We start from the raw sequence: 23,965 nt of genomic DNA, 5'->3' as shown, positions 1-23,965 counted from the left end.
CTAAACACCGAGAGGTCTCCAGGTGTCAAATGATAAGTAGTTCCTAGGAAGAAAGCAGGCGAGCACCATGCCAGGAGCTGGGGCAGATCCGTGCACATAGCAAACATTTTGGCTGTAACAGGCTACTGTAGAGCCAGCCCATGGTCTCCAATCACAGTCTCGCTGCCTCACCATTGAAACAAGCAAACATCTCATGTTTTTGCGGCTCCAAACATACCCACATTATCCAGGCTCTCTTTGGAGAAAGATGGAAGGGGACCCCTAATTCACAATGCTGGGGCTCCTGGAGAATTCACAATTCTTCTGAATTATTATTTAGAGGATTACTATCCTGAGAACTAGTGAATGACAGAGATGCAGTCTCCTTCCTGGCAATGTTTTCCAGAAGTTCTTCCTCATAGAACAGAGGGCAAACTCCAGCCAGTCCTGCCCCTGGATGTTTGGCCACTGGATGGTGGAAGAGAAAATGGACTTGCCTCCCATTCTCTGGTCAGAAATGTACGGGCTCTTTCCTATCCTACCAGAAAGCTCAGAGCTGAACATGGCACATGCCCACAGTAGGTATCATAAAATCCATTCTTCTCTCTCTCCTCTGTTGACTCATCCATATCGTGACTGCCCTGTTTTAAATGGTGTAAGTGGTCTGAAATGTTTTACAATTAGAAACAGACGAGACATAAGTTAAAAACCAATAAAGACTTCCCCAGCCCACCCTGCTATCCCCTTCACACATTCTGTTTCACCTCTCTGCACGCAGAAAATCAAGAGAAGTATTAGCAGATGTTCACGACACAGAACCAGGCTCTTTGTTGACATTATTTAACTCTAGTAAACGATTGGCAAGAAGTCTATTGATTATTATATGTTTTTAAATAATTAGCTCTCCCCATAGTCTTCACAAGAAGACATCATGGGCTTCTTCACCAGCTCCATTTGGCAGATGAGAAAACTGAGACTCAGAGAGGCTGCATAGCTTATTCTAGGTACTACCACAGAAAAACATACCAATGTCATGTAAGTCAGGAAGAGAAGCCACTGGGATGTCCTCAAGCCGTGATTTCCATGTAACATTCACTCCTAAACGCTCCCTGGTCAGACAACCCACCTGCACAGAGGAGTTGTTGCAGACAGGAATGGAAACCAGGGTGCCAAAAGTCTTCACCTACAAGAAGACAGACACTTTCAGCTCAAGAACACAGAGTAGAAAGCTAGTTTTGTTGGGTCCACACCAGGAACCAGAACTTGGCTTATGTTACTTCCTTCAATCCTCCACCAACCCTACTTCAGGGGGTCAAGGAATAGTGACCCCCTTTTCCACATCTGAGGAAAACAAGTTTCAGAGAAGTTAAATAACCTGCCCTGGTCACATGGTGTACAGAAGTATAAGTGGAGGAAGAGCTAGGCTCCATGCATCAAAAGCCCAGTCACCATACTTCACTGGTGAAACAACTTTAGCCAACTCTGCAAATGTCTTCACCATACATATATTCAGCAGGACATCTCCGAACCCCTATAGCATCCACCAGCTCCTCAATGTTGGCTATGCAGCCTGGTCTCTCCTCCCAGCCTAAGTGTGGCTGAGTTGTGCCCACTGAATTTCTGTGAGTGATGTACTGCAGGCTCCTCAGGGTTGGGGAGAAAGACAGACGGTTGTGAGGCCTGTTAGCCCAAGGATGGTGCCAGGCTTTGGTCCAGGGTTGAACACAAGCTTCACCTCTCCCTCTTCATATCAGCCCCTTTCAAAGGGTGTCTTAGTGCATTTGGATGAACATTACGAAATACCACAGACTGTGTGTCTTATAAACAACAGAACTTTTTTTCTCATAAGTTCTGGAGGCTGAGAAGTCCAAGATCAAGATGTCAGCCATGTGTGGTGAAGGTTCTCTTCATAAATGTCTGTCTTCTCACTGTGTCCATGGTGGAAGGGGCAAGGATCTCTCTGGGTCTCTTTTATAAGGACACTAACCCCATTCATGAGGGCTGCACCCTCATGACCTAACACAAAGTTCCCTAATACTATCATGTTGGGGATTATGGTTTGGATATGAATTTCGGGGGGACACAAGCATTCAGATGATGGCAAAAGGTAACATTCCAAGAGAGTTTACATAAAGCCCAAGGGGAAGTCAGTTTATCAAAAGCTTGGGTGCCTAGAGAGTGACTGGAGGGTTTTAGAAGGAAAGTGAACTCTGTCACCAATGAGTAATTCAGAGTTGACGTGGCCCTGGCCCTCAGCCTTCACCACAAAAGGCCTCAACTACCTTCTTCAGAATGCAGACAGGGCCCTGAAAGCCAGCCCCAGGGGTCCAATGCATATGAAGCCTGAATGTAGCATGCCATCCATCCCAATGGCCCTGGCACCCAGACCTTACTGTGTGCCATACCCAGTGCCACACCCCTGGTGAAGGTGAGAACGTGGATGTGAGTGTTCATATAGTTGTCATTTAATGAGATCCTACTGTGTGCCAAGGGCTTAGTATTCTCAGAAGGCACTGTGGCACGATTTTTGAACATGTGTTATTCATCAGGCCCTGTGTGAAGTGCTTTAAACATATTAGCTAGTTTAATCTCCAAAACAAGTCTATGGAGTTGGGACTCTCATTACCCCACATTACAAATGGAGAATTTGCCTCTGAGAGACTGAGAAATGGCCTAGGATCCCACAGCCAGTAGGTAGTAGAGCCGGGATTCAAAACTCCACTAACCCCAGAACCTCCTTAGCTCTCAGCAGAGGATAAAGAGAAAAAGCTTTGGATTTGTACGTTATCTCACTTAAACTGACTCTCCAAGGTGGGTTCTCCTAAACCCATTTCACAGATGATTGACTGAGGCTTACCAAGCCTGGGAAAGGCCCAGGTCACACTGGTAGGAGTGCTGGAGCCAAGGTTTGAAGCCAGATCCATCTGACTTGAAAGTCTATGTATCATCTCCTCCTTCTGAAGAATAAGACTCCCTTCTTAGAAGCTCTGACCTTAGAAGCTCTCTGTCTCATGGTCATACCCTGACACCTTGTTTAGGAAGTCATTAGGACTAGGTCCCTGCCCAGCTTCCTCCTGACCCTATCTCTGTCTTCAGCATGGTCCTCAGCTCTCTAGTCCCCTGGATTCCAGAACATTTTACTCCTTTCTGCATGGGATTTAATTTCCCCATGTTTGAAACACATGTCTTCAGCCATTCCCTGCATCCAAAACCTTAGTCATCCTCAACACCTCCATCTTCCCATGACACATCAACTACTACCCAGTCTTGTAGGCTCTTTTGTCCCAATATGTCAAGATTCCTGCTGCTTCTCATGTTCTGCACTGCCACCTGGCCCCAGGCTGCAGTGAGGACCCCTGCTCCTACCTTGAACCCCTCAAAGCCTACCCTCTACACAGCAGCTGGAGAAGACTGTAAAACTCCCATCATCCTGTCACTTTCTCAACTTCAGTGATGTCCCATCACATGCAGAATAAAACTCACCATCCTAGCCACAGCCAACAAGGCCTTGAGCCATTTCCAACATGCACACCCCAATTTGCAGTTCCCTCTTTTGCTCTGCTCACTCATACCGGTTCCCTCAATTTTATGGCTCACACTAAGTATGTGCCCATCACAGAAACTCTGACCTTCTATTTCCTCTGCAGGGGTTCCTCTCCCCCAGAACTCACAGGCCCTCAGCCTTACCTCACTCCCGTCCCTTTCAGTAGCACCTCTTGGAGGCCTCTTCCTGACCTTTCTCTGTAAAAAACCCCTCTCATCTCACCAGCGTCCCTCTCAAGCAAGGCCCGACCTGCTTTATTTCCCCTCTTAGCTCTTACCTTTACCTGACAGGTACTTGTTTAGTGTCATCTCCCCAAAGAGCAAAGAGGTGATCTCGTTAACTGCTGCATCCTGAAGACTCTGTCATGAACCAAACTCTAGCCAGGCTCCTCTGAGCCCTCTACTAGACCTCAGCCTTGACATCAAAAGACTTGAACAAGCACTAACATTGTTTCTAACAGCTTAAGGCCAGACCCCTGGGAAGACCCTAGCCCCTCTTAAAGTGGCTGTCTAGAAAACTCAAGGCTGCCAAGAGAATTCACTATTAGTTCCAGCAAACACTTGAAGATGGGGCCCCTGTCTCCAGCCTCTGTGTTAATGTGAGCCCTCAGGTTTTCTGACACCGTAACCCTGAGTTGAGTCCAAGCCCTCACTGTGGGGAAGGCCAGGCATGTACCTGGATCTGGCAGAAGCCGCGGGCTGTCAGCTCATCCAATATGAAAACCTGGAAAGTCTGCAGCAAATCCGCGTAGTCAGCACTGCACATCTTGCCCGGCGGGAGCTGGAGCTGAAAGTGCCCTTGGGTCTGGATGGTCTGCCACAGCTGGGGCCCTGCAGGCAAGCACCAGAGATCAGCAGAGGCAATGGGCCTGTAGAGTTATTTTCTTTGTTTGGGATTTCCTCTGCAAAAATAACCCTTCCTCATTGAGCTCAAAACACATAAGCACTGCCATTTTGCATTGTCATTCTGAGTCTAAGTACTTTCCAGCATAACAGCTTGTCTCTGAAATTACTGAGCACCCTCACAGAAAGCTCAGTCCTGCCTCATCCTCCAAACCAGGGTGCTTTATATTTTGAGGTCCTGGACATTCTCCTTGGAAAATCTTCCATGCCATCTTGCATACAGACAGGGCCACTCTGTATGGTTTTTCAGGTTAAGAATAGACATCATAGATGATGGGAATGAATGGTATTCTCTAAGGTTGTTCAGTGCACAACCTGAACAATCATGCACAGCAGCCTGTATTCAACTTCAGGAGCTCAAGATTTGTGCCTCTTTTCCCCAAAGTCCTTTGCTCTAGGGTCAGTTGTGACCATCCTGGTCTTGATTTCAACATAGTCAAAGTGACAGGCCATTATTTATTCAAATCACATTTTGAATTTTCTGGATGGGGACCCTCTATAACCCAGAGTGCTTTGCAACAAATGCTCTCCTTGACACTCTGGCATCCACCCAGAGCCTTGTGACAGTCCCAGAATCTTGGTCTCTCTCCCAGATGCCCTTCCCACTGCACCGGGTGGACCAAGTGCCAGGTCCCAGAGTGGGTTCAGTGTGTGACAAGGCAAAAGGAGCTCTGGTCAGAGCACTAGGAAAGGGGGCCGAAACTTACACAAGTTCCAGCAATCAGGACTGATGCCCTACCTGGAGCAGAGTCCAGGGCCTCCTGCTAAGCCAGGCATTAGCCCTGGAAGTCCAGGTGGTCTTGGGGAGAGGCTGATGGGGCAGGGTCACTCAGAGGCTGGGAGAGCAGCTCTGAGCATGTCAGAGCTGCTGAGCATGTGAGCCACCTATCCAGCTGTTGAAGCACTGACCTGCCCAGTATTTTTCCTGAATCCAAGACATCCCAAGAAAGTTGGAAGAATGGCAATTCTCTCAAGGAGCAGATGGTTCCAGAGAAGGGACAAAGAAAGCCTAACTCCAGGAGTCTGTGAAGGACATCTGCTCCTTCTAGAAAATGCTCCATGGGACTCTCTCCCATCTCTTGGTGCCATCTGGCATACCACCAGCGTGCTACATTTGGGTGGGGAAATGGAGCAGCCACGCCTCCATATCTCGGTCCCAGCCCTAGCCCTGAGAGGGAGCGGGGTGCAGGATAGATGCTCTGATGCCACTCACGTTGGCAGGCCCGGGGCTGAGGCAGCTGTGACTCCCAGCGTCCGCTCTCCAGGCTACATATCAATGGCCCTGGTGGAAACACGCTCCAGGAGCCCTGGCGGCACAGCAATTGGCACTGCTGCATGGCAGAGCCTGTGGGGCCCGAGATTGTCTCACACAGGATTGTTCCACCAACCACCTCCGACGCGTTGAATGGCAGCGGACACCGCGGGCCTGGGAGAAGGAAAGTGGAGCCGTGGTGGGCACCTGCCCAGCCTCGGGACGACTGAGCATGCCTGCTTGTGGGTGTCTCCTTCTCACTCACACTGGGCCCTCCTCCTCTCCCCTTCCCTGGACCTGTCAAGCTCTCAGGGCCTGGCCTGGGCCTGCTCCCCTTTCTCTCTGCCCTGCCCTCTACTTGGATGAGCCCATCTGCTCTCAGTTTTAACAGACACCTAAGCATGAATGTCTCGTGTAGCTTGATGTCCAGCTCAGGCACTCGAGCTTCTTCTCATCTCTAAAGCCAATTAGTTACCACCTGGTCTCTTCACCTCAAAGCCCACCATCCAGGCCTGAACTTAGTATCTGCCACCCCTGCCTCAGTCCCCCAGGCACAAGGATCAGTACCACCAGCCACCCAGCCATCCCAAGCCAGCCACCTGGTGGCCTTCCTGCAGGGTTCATCTCCTCTGTCTTGGTCACCATTCACACCTGCTCCATGTCTCTTCGTCCCTACTGCCACCTCCCTCATTTAGACATCCTTCATTTTCTGCCTGAACTGCCAGCAAATGCTCTTTGCCAGGTTTCTGCATTTAGGCCTCACCTCCTCCTGCCTTTCTGCTCCCACATCCCACTCAGTCCCCACTGCTGGCAGAGAAATTATGCCAGAGCCGAATATCAGCTCTCAACTCCCTCCTGTGCAGGCTGAGCCTGCCTTCCTCTTCACTCTCATCTCCTCCAGCTCCCCAATGCCTCCAGGAATATCTGTTACTCCCTGAACACACCTCCAAGCCTTCCTTCTGCCTGCTCCTGTCTGGAAGATTCCTTTTTGACCCTCAAATATCAACTCAACACGTTCTGTTTTCTACCACTGTCATGGTTCTCCCAGGCAGACTTAGGTCTTCTTTTTTTTGAATTCCCAGGCCACCAGGTACAGACCTTCCTTTTGTCAATTGTTAGAACCTCTAATCAGTGGCATGCTGGTCACCCCACTGGGTTGAGTCCACAGGGAAAAAGAGGGCACCTCTCCTCTGTTCACCCAGGCCAAGGCACACAGCTGCCCCAGACACAGCTCAATGAATATGAGTTAAGTAAATGGGAAAATGAGTAAATTAAAGAGCAAACACACTCATCGTGACAATTTCACACCATTAGAGATTTTGTTCATTATCAGACTCAGGCACAGTCTTTTGACCAGTATATGACTTAACATCTGCAATCTGTAAGGAATATGAGGGTATTCAGGGGCTTCAAAGAGGAAGAATGACCTATTTTGATCTCCAGAACCAAACCTGGTCTTTTTTGTGATAAGGGCAATGGTCCCTGGCGAAGATTTTGCACTGCGATTTGCAGTAGGCTCCTTGAGTTGTCTTTCACCAAGTCCCAAGTGTAAGTGGGATGGCAAGAGTTCACCTATGAGCTCTGGACCAGCCTGCAGGCTATGAATCCTGGCCCTAATATTCACTAGTTCAGGGTCCTAGAGCAAATTAATTAGTGTCTCTGTGACAGTTTCCTCACCCATAAAATGGTGAAGATGGCAATAATGCCTACCTCCTAGTAGGAGTATTTATTTAAAAACTACTATGGGATGTGTAGTATGTGCCAGGTACACCATTAAGAGCTTTGCTAATATCAGTTCATATAATGTTCCCCACAACCCTATGGGATAGGTCCCATTATCCCTATACAGACGCCAATACTGAGGCACACAGAGGGTGAATGCCTCTTCTGTGGTCAGATAGCTAGTAAACAGAAAAATCAGGATTTGAACCCCATTATCTTTGCCCCAGAATCCACATCCTCCACCAGTGTGCTAGATGCATGTGTGTACATAGGTAAGAAGTGGGGTGTCAATGAGTGTGTAAGCATCCTTCCCATTTCAGTGAATACAGGTTTCCCCTCTTATCCCACAGGAATGATCTGCACCTGTGGTTTTTCTGTTTTTGTTTTTGTTTTTTTTACCCTCCCTTGCCTTTTGGAAGTGGGCCAGTGAGTGATCTGATTCGGCTAGAAAGGGGTTTTCCTCCTGGGGCCACAAACATCACCTAGGACACTGACGCTTCTCTTGCCAGGGCACCTACCTTCCCTAGCAGACCTGTTTTCCCACAGCCTTATTCCCCATGTCACTGAAATGAAGTTACTCCCTGGCTATGGAACAACCCTGCTGGCCCCCACGGCCAGGGAGGAGTGGCTAAGGAGAGAAGGAAGAAGTGCAGAAACTAAAATTAACTGAATATCCACAGTGGGCCCAGCCCCAGAGAGTACACTTTACATCTTTAATTTCATGAAATCCTTCCAAAATTATACCACGGGGATTCTTACTGCTACTTTAGAGATGAAGAAAACAGAGGCTCAAGGGAGCTAAGTGGCTCGCCTGGGGACATGTGTTGGTGATTGGACTAGAAGCCAGACCTGCTCGCTCACACCTGCCATCTTACAAGAGTTTGTGAGCACTGCCTGTCTTCTGCATGCCAGGACTGCCCAAAGGCCTCCCAGGCGTTGACTCCATCTTCACAACAACTCTGTGGGGCTGGACTGTTATCAGCCACGTCCTGCAGATGAGGCCCCTGAAGCCTAGAGAGCTTAACTTTGCCACCCAAAGCCCAACACCAGGAAGTGTTGTGCTCTGAGCTACCAGGCTAATGCCCACTGGAGGCAGGATTTTGCATGAACATGACATTGGATGCAGAGAGAGGCAACTTGGTATCTGAGCAAGTCCATCCCCTAAGTAATACTGGCAAAAATAGTAATAATATGTATTAAGTGTATTAGTAATTCCAGTGCTCAACAGTTTACAGAGATTGTCTTAATTAGTGCTAATAATGACTCAAATAGCTACTATTCTCCTTTCTCATTTCACAGATTGAGACACTGACATCCAGAGAGGTTAGGGGACCAGCCCAAGGTCACCTGGCAAGTGAGTGGTGGAGCTGCCATTCAAGCCTGTCTGTCTGCCGCCTGCCTCTCCATCACAGTCTGCAGTGAGTCAGCAGAAAGAGGTTTGGGTGTCTCATGTTAACGCCATCCTCCTGGTGCACTGAGCATGGCCAGCCTCTGGCCTCAACTCCAGGACCCCAGGACTATTCCACTCTCCTGTGTTTAAATGAATGGTGTTTCTTGGTTCCTGATCACATGACCAGGAACCTGGTCACTTTAAGACTCTCAGGAAACCTGGGCAATGTTCCAAATTACTGTCTATATTAAATCTCTCAGCTTTTCCCAAACTCCCTTGCCCTGCTGTGGAATCGGAAGAGGCCAATGCTGGCTGTTCCCACCACTGCCCATTCCATCTGCACCTGCATGGGGCAGGAGTGGCCTGCCAGGCCCGGCAAGAATTAGGAATCTTCCTAGACTTCCAGCCCAATCCCAAAGGCCGGTGGCGTCAGAAGAGCAAGTGAGCATCTACCCAACCGTCAAACCCATGATGAAGCCTTTACAAATGTTAGCTCCCCAGTCTTAAAAACAACTCAGCCAATGAACTGCTCCCTTATAAGGAGAGGAGGCCAAAGTTCTTCCTTTGGACATATTTATCTTTTTTCTTTCTTCATTCAATAAGGCCAATAAATGACCTTCTGGAGCCTTCCTCCTGTCTTCTCCTAAAGCCCTCACAGCTGTACAGCAGAGGGTTTCATCAGCAGGACTCCGGGTTAAATCCTGGCTGCTCCACCTGCTAACCGTGTGACTTTGGACATGTTCATGAGCCTCTCTGAGCCTCAGTTTTGTCATCTGAAAAATGGGGAGATAGGAGAGCTCTATCTATTTACCTGCATTGTTGGAAGGCAAAAATGGGATAAGGGATGTGAAAAGCACCTTTGAACAGGTAATCTGTACACGGGAACTGTATCATGGAGTCCTACATGGCCAAGCCACATACAGTCTTCCTAAGCGCTAAAGGAGCTGTGCTCCAGACCTGTTCCTGGAGGAGGCCACACCGGTCTGTGTCCTGGGTCTCAGTGCAGACCACTCCTAGATGACCTGGAAGTTGGATGTTGATTGTATCTGACTTAAGGTGGACCCTTCACTTCTCTCCCTATTTCAGAAGCACAGGGCAGGCAGTTGCATGCATACATATCCACGGAGCACCTACTGTGTATCCTGCATAGTGATAGCAGATGATAGAGAGTCAAGATGCGGATGAAGCAGGGCCCCATGCAGAGGGCAGCAAAACAGGACTTGGGGGAAACGGTGTGTGGTAAAAGCCTTGGACACAGCACAGGTTCAGGGCAGGAGGGAGTACAGACAAAACTGGAAAGCAACCCCCGCAATGAGAGTGGGGGGACTCTTCCCTCCCACCCCTGCTTCTGAGGCTCCTCCCATCTCTTTACAAATATCAACCAGAAGTATCACTAGACCCAATTAAATTTCCCTGCAGTTCCAAAATGTTGCTTAGAGATTAGAAAATAAGAATAAGGAAAGAATAAGAACATCAAAAGAAAGGCAACTGTGGCTAACTCAGAATCATTTAGCACAGTATTTTGCAACTCTGCCAGACCCACCACCCCAATTGGTAATAAGTATTTTGTAATGTCTCCATTTCCTGCCCTGAAAGGAAATTCACAGATAATCTAACCCACCTACTCACATAACTTTTAAAATGACTGTGATGTCCTGTGACTTGAGAGATTGGAGAAATAAAAGGTTAAAAATCAATAATAATATATTTTAATATTTAACAATATAGTTCAATATTCTATATATTGATGTGATGTACATTTCAATATTTGACATTCACTAAATTTTTAAAACTTGAAATAAAAATAAACAAGTCAACACCTCCACAAATTCCTGAAGTGCCTCAGTGAGGATGGAACCATCACACTGAGATCCTGCAACCACGGTCCTTCTCCCCATCTGAAGACACAGAGAATAAGACCCAAAACTCCCGGGCAGGACAGCCCCCAAGCTTCTTAAGGTGTCAGTTCTGGGGGTTCCCTGCCCAGGCTCTTTCTGACTTCAGTTCCCAGCAGGAGCGTCTTCAGGAAGTAGATGTAAGTTTTCACACGAAGGGACTCAACCACAACTACATCCCTCCTGCACTTCCTGCCTCCCCTCCCACCCCTGCCTTCCCAGCTTCTCTAGTACTTCACCCAGTCTGGATCAAAGAACAGATATGCAGGCCTCGTCGTCCCCCCAGGGGGTCATGACTTACTCTCACAGGCGGGCTGGCCCCCGGTCACGCGCGTCCCAGGCACCTCTTCTCCGCTGTCCATGACACACCAGCAGCTGCCCTGGGCCTGGTCACATTGCACTGGGGAAAAGCCCCCATCCTCTGCCCTGCAGGCTGGGACATAGCCTGGGCTGACTCTCCTGGAGAGGACTCCACTCTTGAGCACATTGCAGAGGCTTGGGCCTGACACAGAGACAAGCCAGATGGGCTGGGGAATCAGTGCCCACTCCCTGCTCAGATGCCCAATCACCCTCCTCACCACCCACGGCCACCCTCAGCCCACCTGCCTGCAGGGCCTTCCAGGGGTCTGGGGCTGCCTCCCCACCAGGAGGTTGAATGACAACAAGGCAAACACTGGACCTGGCTCAGCTCTGTACTCTCTCCCCTCCACTGCCTGCCCTCAAGCAGCTTAGAGTCTTAAAGGAGAGTTAACAAGTACGTGAGCAGGTACAGTTCTGTGAAATAAAGGCAACAATAGTGCAGTGTAGGAGCCTACAGAGGAAGAGAGAGGCCAGCAGAGGCTTCCTGGAGGGACAGATGTGTGGTCTGAGCAAGAATTTGTCAGGTGGGGAGGGGATAGACGGACATATTGCAGGTGGCACAGCCAGAACGCGTGAAGGCACAGGTGGAAGAAAGCGTCTTCCTTTTTCCAAAGTCTGACCAGAATTTATCACAACTGCACCCTGAAGCACAACTGATGGAGAAGAAAGAGAAGTCGAAGAAGACACACCAGCACCAGATGCAAAGGGCCCTCGAGCCATTCCAGGGAGCTCAAGCACGGCCCCGAAGATGATGGGAGCATTTATGGTGTTTAGGCAGAAGAGGGACATCTGCACATTGCCCTTTGGGGACATCACCTGGGCTTCACTGCGGAAACCAGACGGCAGGGCCACACATCCGGCCAGCCCTCCAAAGCCCTAGGGCCCCCTTTGATGGGGATCAATGCTGGTTTGCACTTCTCAGACACAAAGCACAGCCTACTCCCTCCCACGTTTGCTTCTCCCAAGAAACTGCAGAGATGGGGGAATATTGCCCCGATTTCATAGATGAGAAAACTGAGGCATAGTGAGGTCAGCAGCTGTGCCCCCACAGCTATGGAAGCAGTAGAGCTGGGACACGAAGCCAGCTCTTTGGACTCCACGCTCAGTGCCCCACAGAAGAGGTGAGAAGCCATGCCAGGAGGGGCTGCTACTCACACTGGGCACTGCTGCTCGAGCCAGGCCGCAACTCTTCTCCTGATGCAGGGTCCACACACCAGGTGCCAGCCCCCGATGCCTGCAGCCTGGCATACTCTCCTGTCTGAGACAAAGCCGGGGTCATGTCAGTCACTGTGGGCAAGATGCTCTAGTGGCCAACCTGCTGCTGGCAGATGTCAAAAGTGTCCCTTCCAAAACAACAGGTGATGGCTTCTCCAGACGGAGAGATGTGGAGGTGGGGAGAGGTGCTCTCCTGTTCCCAGCCCTTTACGTGCATCATTTGATTGACGGCTACAACAGCCTCATGAGGCATGGACCACAGTTCTCCCGCTTTTGGGTGGGTGAAACTGAAGATCTCTCAGAGAGGGAAAGTGGGGCAACAACTCACAGCTGGTGAGTGAGAGGCAGGTCAGGTCCAGGCCCAAACCCATCTAGACCCAAAGCCTAGCCATGCTCCTGGACCAGCCTCACTAATTCCAGAAATGATTTTGACAAGTACTAGAGTCCTCCACAGGAACTGGCCTTGCAAACCACACCTCAGAGCGCCTCTAAGCTCCACTCTGTAATCCCTTCTCCCACCATCGGACATTGTGGCTTCTACCTCTCCTTCTCTCTGTGTAAGCATCAGTGCCCAGGAAGGAGAAGCAGAATTGCATTCCAACAGTAGGTGCTTTCCAGCCAAGATTAAAAAACTAAACAATAGTGACTAATTTCTCTATGAAACTATGCTTAAGTGGGTCCATGTTTACAGTACCAAACAATAATAAGGAAACTTTTGCTTAGTACTGTACAGTTTCATGAGTTTCAACACTGCTGTTTCATCTGCTTCTCATCAAGTCTTTGGAAGCTGAGCAGAGTGGGTGGTGGTGTTCCTACCATCCTATTTTAGAAAAAGGACACTAAGCCCAGAGATTTCCCTCACTTGGCAAGTAAGTGGTTAAGTTCTGGGCATAAATTCGTTCTCTAGGAGCTCTACATCAGTACTTCGCTGAATTATGAATTGTTACAATCACCCCGGGAGCTAGGGAGGGAAAGAAGCTGGTGTCCTCTGTGTGTGTTGAGAACCTGGGACACTGTAAGCATAGGGCCTTGGCCAAGATGCCTTTAGGAAAAACATGATAGCATGTTTTGTTTATTTTTCAAAGAGTTCTTATGAAAGATATTTTCTTGGAGTCTCAAAACAAACCTAGCATTAGCTAGGACAAAATGTGGCCTGATCTTATGATTAAACAAAACAAACTGGGACACAGAAAAGGTAAGTAAATAGCCCAAGGTCACAGAACCAGGTTCTAGCAGGCCCAGACAAACACCCAGGCTGAGAACATCATGTGAGCTTTTAACTAAGCTGAACGTATTGAACAAAAAGAAAAATCATCTCTGACCAGCGGGGACAAGTCCCGGCTCCAATCCTGTGCTTCCAGACCCTTACTTCTAGGCAGGCTGGGACGAACAGGTCTTTTGGAGATGGGTTTTCTTGGGATCTAGCCTGTTTCCAACTGGAAAGCAGCCCACTGGTTCGAGATTTCTCGCAGGTTGTCGGGCCTGTGGGAGAGAGAGGTGCTTGTAAAGGACTGGTCGTGGGAGCCAAGAGAAAGAGGGGATCCCAGGCTGACCCCACCTTTAAGGGTCATGAGCCTGGGTGAATGCAGGTGCTCTTCATAGAGAGGTAGAATCTCTGAGGACAAAGACTCATGTGGGACATGCCAGCTTTGAGATGTCAAGTGGACTGTGGATTACACATGGCTGAGCCTCAGAAGAGGGGTTGGGGCTGCAGGTTCAGAGGCGAGGCGGTTGCTGAAACTACAGGAGTGGCTGAAATTGCCCAGCAGATGTACAGAGGGGGAGAACCAGGGCTCCTTCAACAGTCTCAGCTGTTTCCTTCCACCTGCAAAGCTGGGAGCCTTCCAACTAGGAAGTGCCAAGGTCAGCGCAAGCTTGCAGGCCTGGGGACTTGGGAAATGCGTCTGGCTGCACCCGGGACCTGGCTGAAGGGCTGGGCCATGGAGTCTCCAGCGGTTAGGCAACCACAGCTGACTAGACCAGTGATGCCCACCAAGGGGGGTCAGGAGGAGAACTCTGCAGTCTTCACTTACACTGTGGAATCTGCAGAGAGCGGGCAGTCAGTGAGCCAGGGATGAACCCTCCTTTCTCATCTACACACCAGCAGTGCCCTGGAAAAGAGCCAAGGGGAGAACATTCAGGAATTGCACTAGGGACTTACCCTGGAGTGTCCCATAAACAACTTTCCTTCTTCACTCATAGCAGTGCAAGCCTGGTCGCCTTCTGTCCCCAGTCTAGACCCCCAGCCGGACATTGTCCACAATCACTCTGATGCCCCCAGCAACCACCCACTTGTCTTTCAGGCTGGTAGAAGTTTCCTGCTCCTGTTACACAAGTGAGATAACTGGAGGCCCGAGAAGCTAAGGAATTTTTCACCAGCTGCTAAAGAGGAGCCTAAGAGTCCAGCTCACTTGCCTCCCAGTGTGGGGCTCTGTCCTCTAAAATAAAAAAGGGGTGTCACTTGGCCACCTGAAGGTGCCTATCCCTCCTTACCAGTCCCAGCGTGGCACTGCACAGGCTCCCAACTTCCAAACGCATCACACTGTGGCATGTAGGGGCCCGACCGCAGAAGGGCGGATGCTCCAGCCGAGTCGTCCGGGGAAAAGCGGCGTCTCTGATAGAAGCTTAAGGCTGGAGTCAGGGAAGGAGAAAAGCAGAATATGACCACCTGCTCTGTGTGGGCTCTGTAGCTGAGAACAACCACGTATGTCCTGGTTCCAACATAAGGAGGCCTTCTTATTTATTTATTTGACAAACATTTCAACCCACAGTATTACAAAGGCTCCTTGCACAGTAGGCAGGCACTCAACAGATTGTCCTTTAAGAATAACACTTAGGCTGAAGCTTGAAAGAATATTATAGTAGACCTCTACAATAACTTCCATACAGAAATCAGTAGGTCAGTGAAGTGTCTTCAGGCACATGAGATAATAGTAATAATAGGTAGGCTCTATACTCATATGTTATGTGTGAGGCACTAGCTAAATACATACCTTAATTAATTTAATCCTCACAGCAATCTGAAGAAATGTCATGTTATCCCATTTAATGGATGAGAAAACTGAGACACAGATGGATTAAGCAACTTAACCAAGGGTTCACAGACAGAAAGAAGAGAGGTTGGCCTTGGAACACAGGAGGGCGATTGACATCAGCTGCCCTCGTAGGTTTCCCTACCAAACTCCTACAGTTTAGTTTTTAACCCCTTTGAAACTTGGATATCCACAAAAATCATATCAGATCTTCACAGCAGCTCCATGAAGCCAGAACTTTTACCCCAGGTGAGGACACAGAGGCTCAGCGAGGGAGGTTATATGATGAACCACTGGCCACCCCACTAATGAAACTGCATCTGTCCTCAGCTCTTGCAGTCCCCGACCCACTGGGCTTTGCACATGGCTTTCCCCACCACCAACATAGTACATAGTGTTCCCATTTATTGTGTTAGATTTGTCTCCTCCGCACTAGCATTTAAGCTCTTTGGTGCAGAGATTTGTGTTTATTTTGCATGTAGAGGAGTGTCTGGCTCATAGTAGGCACTCAAGAAATCACCGATTGGGAAAAAAGCGTGAATGAATGCATGAGGGGGAGAGGAAGAAGCAAGGGTGGGCAGCGGGTGGGACACACATCAGTTTGGTGTGGGTCTTACCAGGCCCAGTCTGATTTGCCACAACCACCACCCTCCTCCTAAGTGGCCATGAACTGTCGCCTGAGCTCTTTCTCCACTCCTGCTGGCACTTGGGGCAGGTTGGGGCTCCTCACCAGGATCCTGGAGGGAGAACGGGAATATCTGTGGCAGCACCATTGGCAGTCACCTGCAGTTCATTGGGACAGTTCTCCCCACTCCCCACCTTTCAGAAACAGGCTTCATGGCTCCAGACGAGAGAGCTTGCAGATACAAGGATGCCACCAACTCACAGTCAGAGCCCATCTGGGGACACCAGGACCGACCTCTGAAGCAGCCCCATACAGTGGACAGCGTTCTGGAGTCTGCCAGGCCTCCTTCTGAATCCCGGCACTGCGCCTCCTAACTGTGATCATGAGCAAGTTGCCCAACCTCTCTGAGCTTCAGTTTCCTCATCTATGGAATGGGTCTAACACTCACCTAACAAGACAACTGTGATATTTACATCAAAGGAGCTGATAGGTGTTAAACACCAAGTGCTTGCCAGACACAGCGGTGTGCATTTCCTCCCATGGCCTTCGCCACGCTCATTAGGCCCTCAGACATGGCTACCATGTTCTAGTGGCCAAAGGCACTTCGCTCTGGGCCCTCAATCCCCAGACTCTCAGGGAAAAGACCAGGCCTGGTCCTCTATGGTCCCTTCCTCTTTCCTCTACAAGCTCAGACATGCAAAGCGGAGCATGTGGCTACTTGGAGAGGAACTTCTCAGCTCGACTTCTGAAGAAAATGCCAACATGCCATTCAATGACTAATCTCAACAGCACCAGCAACATTGCCTCCCCTTTCTCGACATTTCCCTCCCTGACCAAAGTGGTCACAACTGAAGGAGCACCAATCCCACTTCTCTCTTTGATTACCTCAAATCCTGTCTTTGTACAAAAATGTAAAACAACATGGTTCTTCCCAAAAGCAGAAGTCTCCCAGTCTCTGAGGAACAGAGAAAAGCAGTGCCTAGGCATAGGGTGAGGGTAGTGGACGGAAGAGAGAGAAAGAAGGGAGGAAGAAAGCAATAAGGATGGTTAACCACCAGCTACTCAGCTCCTTGTAGGTGTCAGGCACTGTGCCACGCACCAGGGATATAGAAAGAATAAGACACAGTGCCTTGTTCTCCAAAAGAGATGTCTGGTGTGAGAGAGAAGCAGGAAACAAAGATGGCACACATGAGATTGTCACGTGGTATTAGGAGAACAAAGATCACTGAGACCCAATCCCACGCTGGCCATAGACACCCTGGAGTGCCTGCTGGCGTGGATGGGAAGGCAGGGAGCTGCCCTCCTGCTGGAGGGATTCTCTTTGACTTGGAGCAGATGTTGTCAGGGGAGGACTGTCTTGCTGTTTGGTGACTCAAGCCTAGAAAGCTAGACAGGGAATCAGCTGAGACCATTTGACAGGGATGGGGATCCTGAGTAAGATTCAAAGACAGATTAATCATTTGTCCTTGTCAAGTTGATGTGGGGTCAGTGAGAAATCTTGGAAGGGACCTGTTCTCCTGCCAGAGCAGCTGTGAGGTTATGGAGGAAGAACAAGGGCTCTAGGATGAGGCAGAGCTAGGCACTGACCTCAGCAATACCTGGAATCTGCCTGGCAGGGAACAGGAGAGATGAACTGGAGGACCAGGTCTCTGGGCTTCCCATCCAGGCCCACTGGTTATCACTTGTGTGAATTCGGGCAAGTGACTTAACCTCAGACTCCATTTCCCCATTTGCAAAGAATTGTGGATGGTGATTATACCATCATTCTCCTGGAGCTGTCAGAGGATTAAATGTGAAGATCTGATAATCTACTTAGCACAGTAAGTGCCTGCTCAAAGGTGAAGTTAGAATATTGTTTAGCTGGTTAAGGGCTGTGACTCATGCCTGTAATCCTGGCACTTTGGGAGGCCGAGGCAGACAGATCACTTGAAGTCACGGGTTCGAGACCAGCCTGGCCAACATGGTGAAATCCTGTTTCTACTAAAAATGTGCAAATATTAGCTGCATGTGGTGGCACACACCTGTAGTCCCAGCTACTCAGGTGGCTGAGGTGGGAGGATTGCTTGAGCCCAGGAGTTCGAGGCTGTGGTGAGCTATGATTGTGCCACTGCACCCCAGCCTGGGTGACAGAGCAAGACTCCGTCTCAAAAAAAAAAAAAAAGCATACTGTTCAGCTGTTATTATAGACCAGAGGACTGCAGGCTCCCTGAGCTTATGCCTCTGTCGCATGCAGGTAGTAATTCCTGCTTTTTGGAGTTACTCTCAGGATCAGATGAGATCAATGTGTCATAGTTACTTAATATCGAGGCTTCCTCTCCCCTCCTGCTGTGTGGTGTTCCTGAATCCCTGGAAATGGAGGGAAGCTTTGGAGCAGGCCGTAAGGGGTGTTTGAGCATTCACGGGCTTGGGTCCCTCGCATTTTAACAAGAATATTGGCTTTGTGGGAGCGGCAGGTGCCATCTGAAACCTGCCCTAGGGTAGATTCGCTGGAGAATTAAGGAGCATTTTAGAGATGCGTGCAGCATTCCAGCTTTGACTGGTGCCCCCAAACCACTTTGCCTTTTCCTTCCCAAGAACCCATCAGTCTGGGGAAGCCAAACCACAAAGTCCTAAGGATGACTGAGGAGAGACGAATTTAAGCTCCTGCTTTTCCAAAGCGATGCAGTAAGAAAGCTGAAGGGCACCACACTCACTAGACTGAGCCGCCAGGCGAATGGCGTAATCACTCCCACGCAGAAACTGCTCCGCGAAAGCCTCCCGGGGCGGGAAGAGCGGAGGAAGGCCGAGGTCCTCATTCCTCAGCCGGATTCCCTTGGCCACCAGGAAACTCTCCCCCAGAGGGAACCGAGAACTGTTGGAAGCTGAAACAATCTCTTCCGTTTCCCTAATGAACTGCAGTACACGGAGCTTTGCTTCCTCACAGGAGCCAGGACCTAGGGGAATAAAAATAACACAGATGGACTCACTCACCACGTGGACTTCCCTCTGACTCCCATGAAGCATGTGTGCCCTCACGCACACACATACACACCACACACACACCACACACACACACCACACACATACACACCACCCCCCTACACCACACACATACACACCACCCCCTCACACACACTGATACACACCACACACACACCACACCACACACATACACACCACCCCCCATACTACACACATACACACCACACACCACACACATACACACACCACACCACACACATACACACCACCCCCCCACACTACACACATATACACCACAGACACACCACACACACCTATACACACCATACACACAGTATGCACATACAGATCACATACACCACACGTACACATACACACACACCACCCCCGCAGACACCACACACATACACACCACACACATACACACACACCACATATACACACCACACACACATACACACCACACACACTCACATACACACCACACACACACCACACTCACCACACATACACACAAATACACACCACACACACACCCTCCACACATATACCACACACATACATGAACACCACACACATACACCACCCACACACATACACACACCACTCAAGACACATCACATACCATACACACATACCACACACACACACACCACCCACATACACACCATACACACAACCACACACATACACACCACACAGTACACACACATGCATACACACATCACACACAGTACACACACACCACACCACACACACATGCACACAGGCATACCACACACACATGCACACACGCATACCACACACACATACACCACACCACACACATACACACACACCACACACATAAACACACACACCACACTCATACACATACACACACACCTATGCACATACCACACACATAAGTGCACACACCATACACCCATATAGAAATACACAAACCCCATAAACACACACCACACACACATACATAAACACCCACCACAGCACACACATACACACACTACACAATACACACCCACACGTGAGCACATTTTTGCCTCAGCTGTTTTCTTCGCAGCAGCTCTTTCCACAACCTGGAATGTTCCTTGTTTTGCCTCCACACTCCCATTCAGTCACCATTTGTGGAGGAACCACTGCATAAGATGAGTAATAGCTCATACTCGCTCCATGCTGGGCATCATCCTGAGCACATCTACGCAGACAATCTAATTGATGCAACAGCCCAATAAAATATTCTTATTCTCATGCTACAGATGAGAAACTGAGGCATGGAGAAGTCATATAATTTAAACGAGTTCCCAGCTAGCAAGCAGCTGATTCAGAATTTCAATCTAGACAGTCTCACTCTGGGAATAGTGATCTTGACTAGCTGTCTCTAATGAAGGATAGGCAGATGATGGATGGATGGATGCATGGATAGATGGTTGGATGGATGGATGGATATCAAAAGTTGAAGGGAGGCACTGTAAGTTAGCAGAGAGTTATTCCTGTGAAGAGGAAAGACTGTGGCACTCAAAGACCTTTGTGTTCAATTTTTGGGTCATTTATTAGTTGTGCGACCAGGGATAATGCACTTAACTTCTCCGAGCTTCAGCCTCCTGATCTGTGCAATGGGAAAAATTGGGGCATCTAGTCCATGGGGTTTTGTAATAAGCCTTTTAAGTGTTGCAGTTGAAGTGCTTGGCACAGCATCTGGCACATGCTGTCCTTGGCAGTGTCACTTAGCAAAATCCACCCTCGCCAAATTTACTTCAAACATCACATTGTGAATTCAACAGTGGGGGTGTCATTGGATTCTTTTGAGAGCATGGGATCAACAGAAAACTTTGACTTCCAGAATTTGAAGTTATTGTTTTTTTGTTCAAAAGGATATTATCAAATAATTTATTCTATTAATCCCAGGGATTTTGAATGTCCGAAGCAAAAACTCACATTTAAAAACCTCAGCTTGCTCTACATTTCTTCCAGGATAAAGTGAAAATCTACAACTGGGCACATAAGATCTTTTCAAATCTGTCCCCAGCTGGATGCAGTGGTTCATGCCTGTAATCCTAGCACTTTGGGAGGCCAAGGCAGACAGATCACTTGAGCCCAGGAGTTCAAGACCAGCCTGGACAATGTGGTAAAACCCCGTCTCTACAAGAAATGCAAAAATTAGCTGGGCGTGATGGTGCATGCTTGTAGTCCCAGCTACTTGAGAAGCTGAGGTGGGAGGATCGCTTGAGCCTGCGAGGTTGAGGCTGCAGTGAACTGAGATCATGCCACTGCACTCCAACATAGGCAACAGAGCAAGACTGTCTCAAAAAAATTATAATCTGTTCCCAATTTACTATCCGCCTCTTCTTCTTTCATTCCCTCCTGCATCCCCTCCCCTCCTACGTCTATAACCTTTCCTCCACCTCACTCACAGCTTCATTGACTCAGTGCATGCTATTTCCTCTGTCCCAAAGGGCCTGCCACATCTGCAACTGGACAAACTCCTCTCAAGAATCATCCCAGTAGTTGGGGTCAAGCTAATCTTTACCCCAATCTTCAATGAGTTAGTAGCCCCTTTCTCTGAGCGCCCTCCACCGCATTTTCCACGTACATACCTCTGTTCCACCATTGCCATTTATTACTTTCCTGATAACATCCTTGGTTTCCCCACTGGTCTCTGAGCTTCTCAGAGCAGACACCATCCTTCACCTGACTGTCTTCCCATCATACAGTACAGTGCACACAGTAGGCAGTTCATAAACACATATTAAATAAAGCAAGCAAAATTTCAAACAGGCCAGAGATAGCAATGCAGACTCAAACTCCTAGAGGCCTGAGCCATCACCCGTGTGGGTGATGCATGTAGGAAGTTATTGGTCCCTTCGTTACTCACTATCAATTGTATTAATCCAGCCATCACTTATTAAGTACTTCCTGTGTGCCAAGTCTAGCACTTTACATCTATTACTTTTAGTAATTCTTCCGACAAGCCTTTGAGGCAGTTATGTATTGTAACTCAGATTTTACAGATGACTCTAAGACTCAAAAGAGCCTCTCTTAGGTCACAGAGCAGTAGATGGTAGAACCATGGTACAAGACAGCTACTGTTCTGTCCTCCAGGCCAGTCCTCCTTAAGCTTTTGGCTGCATTGAATTCCCCTGGGAATATTGTAGAAATGCAGGTTTTGATTCAATAGGTGGGGTCTGAGATACTGAATCTTTAATGAGTTCCCAAGGTGAATGCCAATGCTGCTGGACCACACTTTGAGTATCAAACCCTTTCAATTGCATACCCTTATCAACAAAAGAGTTTGAATATGCACCCCCCCCAAAAATGGGTATTTCTTTATAAGGCATATACACATACTACTAAAATAATACACTACATGAAGATTTTTAGCTGTTTCAGCTGTTAAACATTTAATTGCAAAAATGAAAATATTAATAGAAATGTGAAGGGAAGATAGGAAATACTGAATAGAGATGGAAGTTCTAACATTTTCTCCCTAATGGATGATCTTGTATCCAGTCTCTTGTTACTCAATTAAAAAAAAGCCAATTACTCTAAGTCTAGTTCTAACACTCTATCCAGCATTCAGACTAAGGTAAGACTAGTCACTAAAGTAATCCCAGCACTTTGGGAGGCTGTGGCGGGTGGATCACCTGAGGTCAGGAGTTCAAGACCAGCCTGGCCAACATGGTGAAACCCCGTCTCTACTAAAAGTACAAAAAAAAAATTAGCTGGGTGTGGTGGCAGGCACCTGTAATCCCAGTTACTTAAGAGACTGAGGCAGGAGAATTACTTGAACTTGGGAGGCGGAGGTTACAGTGAGCTGAGATCGCTCCATTGCACTCCAGCCTGGGCAACAAGAGCGAAACTCAGTCTCAAAATAAAATAAAATAAAGTTACTAGGTACTTTTGGTATCAACAACTCATGCTCCTAAAATTGCATACAAATAGGACCAAATTTAGTCTTAGATAATTTAAAATTATAGGAATGTCCCCATGTAAGAGACCTGACCACTGGTATGGAGAATGATTCTACAAATACCACAAAAATAAATAAGACTTCTTATCTAACAGTCAGGCCAAGATCAATGTGTTAACCTTGAGGGTTCTATTGCTGGAACTTGACATTTGATTGGAGAATCCTTGCATTGTCATCTCTGGGCTGTTCAAAATGCCAAGGGTATTACCGTTCTCATCACATGGTACTTTCACCCGACATTTTAAAAACCCAGTTGCTGCTAAAGCCTAAAATTTGGCTAATATCAAAATAGTCTAATGGATTTTAACATTACTCAGGAAGGTCCAGACAATGTTAAACTTGCAAAGAATGAATTGAGAGATTTTACTGAACAGCTGTCATATCACCTATAATATTAGCAATGGCTGGTTAGAGAGATTTGGATTTGGTGATAACAGTGTTGAACATGTCTGGTTGTTCTTTCAAACTGCTGGCACAGCTGAGGGGGATAAGGCATTTTAACTGAAACTCGTGTCAGCTTCATTCTATTTATGGCTTGTATATCATAGCTTTCCCATAAGTCTGCCACAAAGCTGAATGTATAGACCTCAATTACCGGCTCTCCAATCAGTCCCTTAGTTAAATCCTTCCAAATCAATTAAAGCCACTTCAGGTGGCACTCTCCTGAGGCCTGCATATTTAGCAGCATTCTGTGCAAGTAGCAGGTTCACTGTAATATTCATTGGTCAATTAAAAGGTACACCTAACATAGGAGCGATTACTAAACATTAACCATAGGAGGACGAGGGCCAGGTCATCTCCACTTTTATAGCCTTCATCAGCTCTAAGATGAAGATGCTTGCACACAGAAGACATCCAGTAAAAATCTAAGACACTGATTGAAGTAATCAATTATATGAAAGTTTTAAAATATACTCTATCAATCTTGCCAACACCTGACTGTGTTGATACAGGGAAGTCCCTTCCCCTCTGTGAGCCTTCGTTTTCTCAGCCATCTCTAAACTCCATTCCAGCTTTGACACTCAATACCCTCCCACTAGACATCCTTTTTTATATGTTAAACACACATACACACACACACACACACACACACACATTTAACTCTTCATATGCGTTAG

At 48.1% G+C, this 23,965-nt stretch overlaps 1 protein-coding gene across 13 annotated transcripts in view; it reads right to left on the bottom strand.

Moving 5' to 3' along the window:
* TG (thyroglobulin) overlaps positions 1-23,965 on the bottom strand; it is a 267,942-nt gene that overhangs the window by 222,361 nt on the left and 21,616 nt on the right. For all 13 annotated transcript variants that reach the window (NM_003235.5, XM_017013794.2, XM_006716622.4 and 10 more), the window contains 9 exons: positions 18,610-18,849; positions 14,753-14,890; positions 14,293-14,370; positions 13,629-13,741; positions 12,200-12,302; positions 10,986-11,186; positions 5,639-5,851; positions 4,199-4,353; positions 1,006-1,162 (listed from right to left, as the gene is read on the bottom strand). In NM_003235.5, the coding sequence (NP_003226.4) occupies positions 1,006-1,162; positions 4,199-4,353; positions 5,639-5,851; positions 10,986-11,186; positions 12,200-12,302; positions 13,629-13,741; positions 14,293-14,370; positions 14,753-14,890; positions 18,610-18,849 (1,398 nt within the window). The remainder of the gene's footprint in view (positions 1-1,005; positions 1,163-4,198; positions 4,354-5,638; positions 5,852-10,985; positions 11,187-12,199; positions 12,303-13,628; positions 13,742-14,292; positions 14,371-14,752; positions 14,891-18,609; positions 18,850-23,965) is intronic.

This window comes from Homo sapiens, chromosome 8 (assembly GCF_000001405.40).
Source record: "Homo sapiens chromosome 8, GRCh38.p14 Primary Assembly".
Taxonomy (NCBI): domain Eukaryota; kingdom Metazoa; phylum Chordata; class Mammalia; order Primates; family Hominidae; genus Homo; species Homo sapiens.
Note: the sequence above shows the minus strand (reverse complement) of the source record. Positions and strands in the feature narration are given on the sequence as shown.